The sequence below is a fragment of the Homo sapiens genome, chromosome 2 (assembly GCF_000001405.40).
Source record: "Homo sapiens chromosome 2, GRCh38.p14 Primary Assembly".
NCBI lineage: Eukaryota > Metazoa > Chordata > Mammalia > Primates > Hominidae > Homo > Homo sapiens.
In genome coordinates, this window is record NC_000002.12 from 171,717,117 (window position 1) to 171,729,660 (window position 12,544).

The 12,544-nt window shown below is 34.5% G+C and overlaps 1 protein-coding gene across 12 annotated transcripts in view; it reads left to right on the forward strand.

Annotated features, from left to right (window-relative positions):
- The window catches only part of DYNC1I2 (dynein cytoplasmic 1 intermediate chain 2), a 62,690-nt gene that overhangs the window by 29,648 nt on the left and 20,498 nt on the right, over positions 1 to 12,544 (forward strand). For all 12 annotated transcript variants that reach the window (NM_001378.3, NM_001271786.2, NM_001320882.2 and 9 more), the window contains 7 exons: positions 8,502 to 8,597; positions 8,803 to 8,965; positions 9,078 to 9,177; positions 9,675 to 9,800; positions 10,705 to 10,851; positions 11,189 to 11,302; positions 11,601 to 11,734. In NM_001378.3, coding sequence (NP_001369.1) covers positions 8,502 to 8,597; positions 8,803 to 8,965; positions 9,078 to 9,177; positions 9,675 to 9,800; positions 10,705 to 10,851; positions 11,189 to 11,302; positions 11,601 to 11,734 — 880 coding nt within the window. The remainder of the gene's footprint in view (positions 1 to 8,501; positions 8,598 to 8,802; positions 8,966 to 9,077; positions 9,178 to 9,674; positions 9,801 to 10,704; positions 10,852 to 11,188; positions 11,303 to 11,600; positions 11,735 to 12,544) is intronic.

Here is a 12,544-nt window from a genome sequence, read left to right on the forward strand (position 1 = left end):
ATAACATTTTTGTTCAAGTATTTTCTTTTTTTTTTTTTTTTTTTGAGATGGAGTCTTGCTCTGACACCCAGGCTGGAGTGCAGTGGCGCCATCTTGGCTCAGTTCTCCCACCTCAGCTTCCTGAGTAGCTGGGATTACAGGCGCCTGCCACCACGCCCGGCTAATTTTTTGTATTTTTAGTAGAGATAGGGTTTCACCATGTTGGCCAGGCTGGTCTCGAACTCTTGACCTCAGGTGATCCACCCACCTCGGCCTCCCAAAGTGCTGGGATTACAGGTGTGAGCTACTGTGCCCGGCCATGTCCAAGTACTTTTTACTTGACCATGTAGATGTTCTGTATGTTCATTTTTTTCATTCCTGCTGTTCCATTGGTTGGTAAGATATCTTTTGTAGATGCAAGATCCTCATCCTAACAGAAGAAACACACTGATGGTAAACTTGCTTGAGACACAAGCAACTTTTTTTAAAAAGAAAGAAAGTATGGAGCTTTCAGTATGAGAATACTAATACTGCAGGATTCTGTAATTTCTAGAAAATATTATTTTGTTAACTAGTATATTAATTTGGTGAGTATTATTATGTCTGCCTTTTAGGAGCTACGTTAGTAGATATGTTAACTCAGAAAGTGACCAGAATAACCAAAACGAAGGCACAGTGACTCATTTAAAAAAATAAATTAGGCCTTTTTCTTCATCTGATAATTTGGAGATTGTATTTTTAGTTACACTACCATACTTACTGGTACAATGCATCTTGGATTTTTTCAAATATAAAGTATTCTGAAACTATTTTGAGTAATGCCTATTATATCTATAGTTATATCCAGTTTAAGTGAAGACTTTCTTTTTTTTTTTTTTTTTGACAGAGTCTCTCTTTGTTGCCCAGGCTGGAGTGCAGTGGTGCCATCGTAGCTCACTGCAACCTCCACCTCCCAGGTTCAAGTGATTCTCCTGCCTCAGCCTCCTGAGTAGCAGTGACTACAGGCGTGCGCCACCACTGCCAGCTAATCTTTGTATTTTTGGTAGACTTGGGGGTCTCGCCATGTTGGCCACGCTGGTCTCAAACTCCTAGCCTTAAGTGATCTGCCCGCCTTGGCCTCCCATAGTGCTGGGATTACAGGCATGAGCCACCACATCCAGCCAAGATTTTCATTTTTTTCAACTATTTTCATTTTTTAAAAATAGTTTTTTCTAATTACTATAGTGGTATATCATAGAGAATTTAGAAGTACAGAAAGGATATAGAGAGGAAATGTTTTTGATACTGCTGTGTACAACCCATTGTTAATATTTTGGTTCCAATGAATATGTCTCCAAACTTCTTTTTTTTTTCTTTGAGACAGAGTCTCGCTCTGTGGCCCAGGCTGGAGTGCAGTGGCACGATCTTGGCTCACTGCAAGCTCCATCTCCCGGGTTCACACCATTCTCCTGCCTCAGCCTCCCGAGTAGCTGGGACTACAGGCACCCGCCACCACGCCCGGCTAATTTTTTGTATTTTTAGTAGAGACGGGATTTCACCATGTTAGCCAGGATGGTCTCGATCTCCTGACCTCGTTATCCGCCCGCCTGTGCCTCCCAAAGTGCTGGGATTACAGGTGTGAGCCACTGCCCCGGCCGTCTCCAAACTTCTTATTTAAATTGATGACTAAAAATTATAACACCAAGAAGTGCCTACCACTTATCAGGCATAGTGTGAGACACTTTACATCATCTGTAATGCTGTCACCAAAACCCTGAAAGTTAGGTATTGGTTTTGTTTACACACAAAGAAGCTGAAACTGAAAGAGGTAGTTTATCGAGCATCACAGAGCTAGTAGCTATGATTGTAAACCAAATATGACTGATTCTACGATGTGCTTTCTCTTGCCACTGAAGTAGCAACTCATGTTTTTATGAGTTGTTTTATGAGTAACCTATAGTAAGTAGTTTAGTTAATATTGTCTAGCACTGATTCTACAAGCTTATTGAGTATTTGCTCTATGTAAAGGCACTAGATTATCCTTTCTTTGGATTTGTTGTCCTTTTAGTTACAGGTTGAGGTATATAAGTGAAGGAGAAGGGAAAAAAAAGCATCCTGATACCATGGAGCTATCCTTAACCCTTTGGAAATATTTATAAAAATGAGATATTTGGGCAGTATCCTTTGGGGGAAAAAATGAGATAATTTGTTTTCTATATCATTACAGTTATTTTCATGTCTGGAGCTCTTACATTAAGTTTCTTTTCCCAAAGTGTATAAGTTTTAGAAAGAAGGAAAGAGAAAAACCTTGAAATTAAGGTTTTATAATGGAAACACTGTGCGCTTAACTGTTCTTGTGCTTACCCATCACGTTAATACAGTGGTTCTCAAACTTTGCCTGGTTGGTTCCCATTTAAGAATTATGTAATGAATTCCAGAACTCACCATGAAACAAAATTGGTGAAATCACAGTTGGAGTGTAACAGACAGCAAATTAAACTTCTGTAGGCAGTAAAATCCATGCCTACAGAAATCCGTGACTTACCAAATTGAAGGTAAAAATTGGTCGTAGACTTAACTCTTACCTTTCTTTTGTATTCTTTTTTTAAATAAAAATGGCCAAGCCTATTCCTTTAAAAAAGCAGTTTTTATTCTGCCTTGTTTTTTCTTTTTCACTCTTCTGGCCACCTTCTTGCTTTCCAGTTTACTCTGTAAGTTGGTAGTACTGTTTCTGAACTGTGGTGCTTTGCTGTCTTAAAGCGCCTACTGTGAATGAAATTGACTAGCACCACGTGACTTCAGTCGATTTTCTTCTCAGCAGGTGAAAAGCTTCTCTTGGCAAGAATGTGGTGCCCACAGATACACTCCTGGAAAAGTTACTTTCTTTACCTTTTTAAAAGTTTTAACTCTTTTGAAAAAATGGCATTATTTTTTCTTATTCACTTCTTCTGTATGGATTTTTTTTTTTTTTTGGCTATTTTTTGAAAGATTATTAAAGGAAAAAGAAATCCTGAAGGTTACCTAATCTAATCAGCTTGTTTACTCTGAGGAAACTGAGGTTCAAGGAGATTACTTGGTGAGTCTAAGTCCACCGTCTGAGAGAATATCGGGCATACATCCAGAAACTGGCACTTGATTTCTAGTGAAGTACCATTTTTCTTATTCCATTCCACTTTCTTATCTGTGAAGGAGTTTATAATTACTGTTGGTATTGGCTTAGTAGCCAGATATGTTTTCTTCAATACCTGTTGATTAGCTTTATTGTGTGTAGAATATTAATATATGTGATTATCTTGTAATCACTTATTGCATGATCTTAACATTTGGAATTCACTCCCAGAAGACCAAATTTGTATGCCTTCTGGTTAATACATCTACCTTATCTAAAATGGATTTTTCTGTAATCCTAGCACTTTGGGAGGCCGAGGTGGGGCAGATCACCAGAGGTCAGAAGTTTGAGACCAGCTTGGCCAACATGGTGAAACCCCATCTGTACTGAAAATACAAAAATTAGCCAGGTGTGTTGTCACATACTTGTAATCCCAACTACTTGGGAGGCTGAGGCAGAATTGCTTGAACCCAGGAGGCAGAGGTTGCATTGAGCCACGATTGTGCCATTGCACTCAAGCCAGGGCGACAGAGTGAGACTATGTCTCAAATAAATTAATTAAATAAAATGGATTTTTAAAAGATTTTGGAATGAATAACACATTTAATAAATTAGTTTTAACCCTCAGAGGACCTATAAGAATATAAACAAAATTGAAAATTGAAGCATTTGTTCTTAATCTTGATTGAAAGACTAATCAGCATATCTGAAACCCTGGCCTCAGAAAAATATAATATTTGATGAAATCACAGATAACAAGACCTATGTAAGGGTGCTAATACTGCGAAAATAAAACCCAAATTTTATATAAAAAGGACTGTGACTGGTCAAGGTGGTGTGCACCTGTAGTCCCAGGTACTCAGGAGGCTGAGACAGGAGGATCACTAGAGCCCAGGAGTTTGAGGCCAGCCTAGGCACATAGCAAGACCCCATCTCTTAAAAAAAAAAAAAAAAAAAAAAAAAAGAACTACAGAGAGACAAATTTTGTGTTAAAGGAAGTGGTATAATTAAACTATTAGTCTTTTCTTATTTTCCCCCCAAGTTAGCATTACATCTGTATTGAAATCATTAATGATTAAAAAGTCAGCTGTGTATTTTTCCCTTGTTGAAGAGCCAAAGAAACCCAAGTGACCTTGCATCTTATTCTAGATGGTGTAAAAAAAGAAAGGGAATGGATTCCATTGATAGATTCATGAAACTTTGTCCCAATGAAGATTCTCTTTAATATGCATCTGATTTTAAAGAGTAAGGTATAAGAAGATGAAGTGATGGACAAATGGATTGAAATAGAGTGATTCAAAATGAAGCTGACCCAGAAAAGAAGGGATTTTTTGAAAATATTAAAGGAAAATCATTCCTATGTAATCTGTATTTTTAAACTAATGATTAAAGCATTTTCCTCTAATATTTTCATAGCTGTTTGTGAAGTTATTCATAAGTTGAATTTTTATAAGTCAAATCATATTTTTATATGCAGCAAATGTCCTGACTTTTAGAACTCAGTGTCAGCTTCCTTTATACCAGGAATAACCAGACTACCTTGTAAGTTAGGGATTTTTCATAGGATATTAAGTTATCTTAAAATGGGATGCACCAGTACAATAAAACTACATAGTAAATTGATAGACAACAAACATATTTCCTAAACAACAGTGCACTAATGATGGGATTTGTTTTTCACTTCATATTGAGATTTAATCATTAAAAGTGATAGATTCATAAGTAGCAATGTTTGTTCAGTAAGGATTTTCTAAGATACTGTATATTACCTTTTAAATGTCTTGTAATATTTTAAAATAATTCAGAGTATGCTTTGTGGCATACTCTTAGCTTATCTTAAATGTATCTTAAATGTAAAATGTATCTTAAATGTACTGTGAGGTACAGATGAGAAAACTTGCTCTGAAGTCTCCTTCCTTCAGTTTAACAAAAGCCACCCATTTCACAGATGATTTAACTTTGATTAACTTACTCCATTGTAAGAGATTATTCCAACAACTGGAATTTCATTCTTTCGTGTTACTTGTAGGTGCAGCTTAATTTACAAAACAGCTTTTCTTTCTGTCTCACCAAAATACATCACAATTTTGATGTTAACTCAAAGTAAAAATTCAGTGGTTCATTAAACCTAGTTTTAGCATTCATTGACAAGAGATTTGTCATTTTAAAAGTAACTGCTACTTTTATGCACTCTTTACTGCTCAGTTTATAACCTTAGATTCCTTGTCAGAGAAAGCGTGGAGTTAACCACTTTAGCATATTGTAATGAATATTCATCAATAAATTGATGTGACATGGCAGCCCCATTTTTCAGTCTTCCTGCTCTGTTACAGTCTTTTCCAGTTTTAAATATAGCTTATCATGTAATAAGGACTAGCTTAGAAAATCTTCAGAACTGTAATTTTATATTTTTGGCCACGTTAATAGTCCTTTGGTAGCTATCATATTAGCTTATAACAAGAAAAGCATATTTGTTTCAGAAGAACATTTTTTAATCTGATGTTATTGATGTTAGGCATTTTTGCCAAATATTTGGTAAATTTGATAATTATTTAAGATCAACCTTATAGCAAAAAGATTGCATTTTACAGTTTTTAAGAACAGCATTATCATTTGTTTTTATGTTCCTTGAAATTTATTTAATCATTTTTATGAAGCTTAAGTACCAATGATAGTTTTAAAGTCTGGTTTTAATCCATGTAGAAAGGGAGGGTATGTACTTTAATTCTAAAATAAAACCCTGAGAGCATGTATTTAAATAGTTGATACTCATGATTCAGCTACAACTGAAATAATTTATATGGACAAATAGGCATGGCAAATGCTGTATAGTACACAGATATAGATCACTGTCTGACATATTTCATCTACATTTTAAATTTTAAAAGGAAAAGAGTGTCTATAAACAAGATCTTTTCTGTTAAATATGTAAATTATGAGGTCACTTAGCACTAAAGTACTGACCATATGCATTATGACAGGAATTTGACACCTGTCATTGGAAATGGTACTTAGAGGCCGTATAATACAACAAAGTTGAAGGAGGAGAATAAGATGTGGGTAGGAGGCTGTAATTTATAATTCATAGTGCTCAAGAATGACCTGTCCTGGGTGATTCAAAATTCCTATCTTTGATTTTAGGATTTACATACAGTGAAACCTACTAGTAAACACTTGATTAGGATAACTGGTAGCATTAGCAGAAAGTGGAAAATATATGTATATTCTTACAGTGAATTTTTAGTTGAAATAGATGTCCTATTATTCTAAAAGACAGCTTGTAAGTTAAATGTAATTAAACTATTTTGTTACATTACACCTGCAGGTGACTTTATGGAAGAATTTCATTCTAATGCTTGAGTAATATAGTATAGAATTGCTACCAATTATACTATTTTCAGATTAATAATTCGTTGTATATGAGAATTCATCTAAAAAGGAGTAGTGTCTTTCTGTTTCTCTATGTGATTATTTTGCCCCAAAAAGCTTTCATTTTTTTAAGTAGCACAAAAGCTATAATTGGCATGCTTTGTAAGGAAGTGTCAATGTGCAAGAGAGTGGCGATCACTAAGAATTCTTTTACGTGTTCTTTCCCCTTTGCACCACCGCCTCCTCAGCAGGGTCACTGAGATCACTAGCTTTTCTTGAAATGGCCATTTTCACTGGCAGGTGCATTATACCCTGTATTTTCAGATTGTTTTTCCATTCTGAATGTTTGGCAGGTTGATTGCTCTGGCTGCGTTGACGGAGAAAGGGCTGACAAATGTGGTTGGGCTGGCTGAAAAGACAGTGATTACTGTTTTCCTTTGTGGCTGATTGAGGCCGTTGAAAGGAAAAATTTTAACCTTCACCATTTGGTTCAAAAGTATGAGCATATATTGAAATCACTCGTGCCATTTATCCTAGTTCTGTAAACTTGTCAGAACACAAAAATCGCTCAATTTCAAGTAATGTAGGATTGGCATACGTCATTATCATTTTGATTAAGTTGGAGGTTGTATCATTGTGTGCATTATACAGTGTCATTTAAAGCTTTCTTTCCACAGGTACAGTTATATTTTTATTGCCTATACTATAGAGTTAGAAAGATTTTCATAGCTCTCTAAACCTAACAGTATGTGTGTGGTTTGGCAGCTGGTGTGGCCTACAAGCTGCATTTTGTTTGCTGGGTAAAGGCTTGTCTTTAGGCCTCCTGGAGTGCTGGTAATTGCACAGGCCTGCCATTGGGGAGAGACACAGGATTGGAAGCAGTGAAGCGGAAGAATGTTATGCCATCCCATTGCCACCTTGTAGCAGAAAGACACAATCCCAGCAGTGCCATCTGGTTGTTGCTGTCTAGTCAGCTGGCCTGGCTGCTGGGACCATGACTTGGCAGCTGGTTCCCATTCTTGACCATTCTTTTGTGTACGTCGTATGTATGTGTGTTTTAGATAATTTTGAACATGAGTCAGGGAAATGACTACAGCAAGTAAAGTCCCCTTATTGAATAGGTTGTCATTACTTGAACTGCACTCTGGTGCAGATGCCTGCTGCCTTTCCCTTATAGACAAATAACGCATGTGTTTAGGCAATAAAAATAAACATTTTCTTCATAAAAACCCATCTCAGTGTGTAGCAAAAGAAAAGGTGGGCAGGGTTATGTGTTCTATAACATTTTAAAATAAATGATTTTAAATTACTTCCTGGTTTGGGATGTAAGAGATTTAGTAATTTTTTAGAAGTCTTGTAAACATTGTATATTATCCCAATGTATACTTTTATTCAAATTAAGAAAACATTATTTTAAGTGCTTATTGCCACATCATGTAACAATAGATAATGAGACTTGCATTTAAAATGACAGAATAGAAAATGTGGTCTTATAGCTATTATCTTCAAAATCTGCCTCTCAAATAGCAACCTGAGAGTTAATGTAAGCCATCTTTATGCCTTATGAAGGCCCATTAGACACTGATGGTTTCAGATCACAAGTAAGCAGCCAGCTCTGTAGGCTATTTTAGACATTTGATTTTCCTCATTCTACAGCATTAATGTGTCAGCATGCTATATAAAACTATGCAGGAGTTGCATGTTGTTCTGTCTAGAATGATAAATGCTTGCAAGCTTTTAGAGACTTAATGAGGAATTCATCCTAGTTGCTTATATATCTTATTTCAGTTTATGTAGCTACAGAATTTAGGGTGGCTGTTGCTGAGGTACCACATAGGTATGTATAAAAACCAAGAGGTTCCACTTAACTATTTGATTATGTTGATAAAAATCCCTATTATTTGTACTTGTTCTGTCCGGTCAGTGGTTTACTTTTGCTTATATCTTGGGAGTTGTGATACCTTCTGAAATACTGTCTCAAAAGTTACCAGCTATTTTCATTAAAATAATTTATTATATCATTCTGTTTTTTTGTTTTTTTGTTTGTTTTTTTTTTTTTTTTCAGATGAAGAGGAAGATGATGATGTAGTGGCTCCTAAACCACCTATTGAACCTGAAGAAGAGAAAACTTTAAAGAAAGATGAGGAAAATGATAGTAAAGGTATCTTAAGGAATTAAACTTTAAAACATTTTGTTGATTTCTGTTAAGATTCCTTTTATTATGTATTAAAGTAGGATGAAATGCTGTAAATCAAATAAGTGAATCTGATTGAAAAATAATAACATACATTGATCCATACTGTGATAGTGAGTTGACGTGATTTGCCTGACATAAATCATACTTCAAAAAATTATTTATTTTCCAGCTCCCCCTCATGAGCTGACTGAAGAAGAAAAGCAACAAATCTTGCACTCTGAGGAATTTTTAAGTTTCTTTGACCATTCTACAAGAATTGTAGAAAGAGCTCTTTCTGAGCAGATTAACATCTTCTTTGACTATAGTGGGAGAGATTTGGAAGACAAAGAAGGGTAATGTTTAGTTGCTAAGATTTTTAGCTTCAATAATGTTAAATTACTTTAAGATTAAGAGTGATAAAAGTTATAACACCATCTTTTTGGGGGGTTTGGTCTTTTTTTGTAGAGAGATTCAAGCAGGTGCTAAACTGTCATTAAATCGACAATTTTTTGACGAACGTTGGTCAAAGCATCGGGTGGTTAGTTGTTTGGATTGGTCATCTCAGGTAAAATATAACAAAATAGGCCGCTCTTAACTCATTTTTAAAATTATAATTAGCAGGTCATTTTATTTTAATTATGGGAATTTTGTATAATAAATCAATATGTGTTATTTAAAATTAATGGATGATGGTTCTAATGTTAACATACTCATCTTATGTACTTTGGAAGAAAGATTAGAAGCATTATTTATATTTAAAATTCAGGACTTTATGATACAGGCCAGTTTTACTAATTTCAGTTGCTCACCAAATCCTTTGTGTAAAATTTGGACACATATTTTAATTAAATGTTTTAACATTAAAACATTTAAAATAATTAACTGTTCTAATTTAAAATTGTACTAATGTCCCAGTAGGCATAATGCTAGAGATGTCTCTCTTGATGAAATGTTAGGTATTTGTATTTGCAGAATAATAATCTGATAAAGACAAATAACTAGGATTATAAAACAGTTCTTATTATGCATAGCATTTCTTTTCTTCTTGATTCTTCTGAGCAGTATCCGGAGTTACTCGTGGCTTCCTATAACAACAATGAAGATGCCCCTCATGAGCCTGATGGTGTGGCCCTTGTATGGAATATGAAATACAAAAAAACTACCCCAGAGTATGTGTTTCACTGCCAGGTATGGTGGTCTTTTAACAGTCTTCGCCTCAAGTTTAAGAATTCATTGATGAATTAAGACAAGTGCCTTTTTTCTTTTCTTGTCAACATAATGATTTCATTGGATTGGCATTTTACTAAACCACTCCATATTTGCAAACAGATGTTAACAGAAAACTGAAGACTTCTCAGTTCAACATGATCTGCCTTTTGTAGCTTTTCTGACATCTCTTATAATGTTTAATCACACCTAAAGTCCTTTGCAGTTGTGATTTTCTGTTATGGTGATTGACTGTATAAAAGGAATCTTTTATAAAATGTCTTTCCTACAGGGAGTTTCCCAGGAACTTATTTGTGAATATACAATTAGATGGTTGGCCCACTGAATTACTTATACATGGCCTGAGGAATTGGAACTAGATGGTTTTAAGTAGAAACATATGGTTGAAGTAGAAAACAGATGCAGATTTTTAAAGCAGATTTAGTAGAAGGTTAGAATTTGCAAGCCTTTTCTGATTGCATAATTTAAAATCTTTTAATAGTGTCTTAATCTTGAGTAAACACTTAACTTGAATTAAACTAGCGTGTACTCTACTGTTAGATTACTGTCAGAGTCTAATGCAGGGCTAGTTATCTTTTTAATACTGTAGTTAACTGAAATAACTTTTTGCTTTCTTTGATAAATTAGTTAAACCTACTTAATAGTAAACAGCCATTGCATTGGACTTTTAAGCAAAAAATATCTTAAAGATATATTTTTATATTTCTGAAACAGTGAAAACTTTTAATTAATTTACTTAGTTGTTTTTATAACCTCTAATACCATACAATGAAGAAAGAAATGTTTCGGATAATAGATTGATTTTTAGAACTTGTCAGGCATTTTCCATTTGAATCTCAAGTATAAAAATCTTACTTATTTGCAGTCAGCTGTGATGTCTGCCACATTTGCAAAATTTCATCCAAATCTTGTTGTTGGTGGTACATATTCAGGCCAAATTGTGCTTTGGGATAACCGTAGCAATAAAAGAACTCCAGTGCAAAGAACTCCACTGTCAGCAGCTGCACACACAGTAAGTAAATAAGGTTATTTCCATTAGGCTTCTGTGCTCCTTCATCCTTAGCTATAATACTTAGTAGTGGCCATCAGAGTCATCTCAGAATGTGCTTCCTTTGGTGTATGAATTCCTCACCATTTAGCAACCAAGAATGAAGGCTATTTTTTTTTTTGGAGATTTATTAGAAACTCATCTCTCTTCTGCGACAACATTTTGTTAATAGCAAACTTCACATTAAGAATACCCACAAGTTATGAGACTCGATAATAAACAGAATGCTTATAATTAGACTAAAAATTTTGTTTTGCTTTTTGGTACAATAATCCCTGAAAACTTTTTTTAATATCTCTAGCACCCTGTATATTGTGTAAATGTTGTTGGAACACAAAATGCTCACAATCTGATTAGCATCTCTACTGATGGAAAAATTTGTTCATGGAGTCTGGACATGCTTTCCCATCCACAGGTGGGTTAAACTTGGGAAACTGAAATTTTGAGGCAAATGTTATGTTTTAAGTGTATGTGTACCTCAACTTATGTTTCTCATAAACTGTTTTATAGTAGTGTTACAACAGCTTATAAGCTGAAACGTGTTTAATATAAGTTTGTTTCATATATATATATTTTACTTTGAAACCTGCTTCATTTAATTTAGATTTATGTAAATAATAAAAGAATTGTTTACAATCAAAGACTAGAAGTTTTTCTACAGAAATTTAAAATTGCAAGTTTACAAACTAATTTTCTCAGGTTTTTCTATGTAGGATAGCATGGAGTTGGTTCATAAACAGTCAAAAGCAGTAGCTGTGACATCTATGTCCTTCCCTGTTGGAGATGTCAACAACTTTGTTGTTGGGAGTGAAGAAGGTTCTGTGTACACAGCATGCCGCCATGGCAGGTAAACCTAAACTGGAATTTGCAATAATTTAAAATTCCTCCTTTAATCCCATTGAAACAAATTGTCTTATTTAAGTAGAAATCTGTCGTAGATCTACTTGTTATTTGTGACAGATTTTTTGTGTTCAGGCACATAAAATTAAAACTTAATACCTTTTTGTATAAAAGATAATTTTGGATTCATGATGTGTTTAGATTTTGTGGGTTGTGGTTTTGTGTGTGTGCATGTACTCACGTAAGTTAGTGATAGGCAGGAACATTCAGTAGTTACAAATACAATATGCACATGCCAATATTGACCTATAGACTTATAAATGAGATTTTCAGCTGTTTCCCCTTTTGATTTATTTGGACTTTAAGCATTAGTTCATTCTCCTGATAATTGTACAGTAATGTCACATACATATTTTAAACTGAGTAATATTTCTCCTTCCGTTCTGTCTGTTTTGAAATTGTCTAGCTGTACCTTATTGCTTCCTTAAAAAAAAATTGAGTGTCCAGATTTCATCTCAAATATAGATCACCTTCACTTCAAAGCTTTTGTTTTAAAAGTAGCCCAGATTGTCTCTCTTAAATGTAGGGTATCTTTGTTTCTATTACACCACTTCAGATATTGGACTTTTGAGGTCTGTTGTCAACAGCATGATGTTTACAGTTCCAAAGGTACTTATTGCTTTAGTAGAGTTACCAAATGTGGATGGAATAACACTCAACAAAGTTAATTCTGATAAGTTATGAGCACAGAGTTAAGTCTGTCAAAATGAAGTCAAGGCCTGATATATAAACCTATAATAAAATGTGTATGTAATTG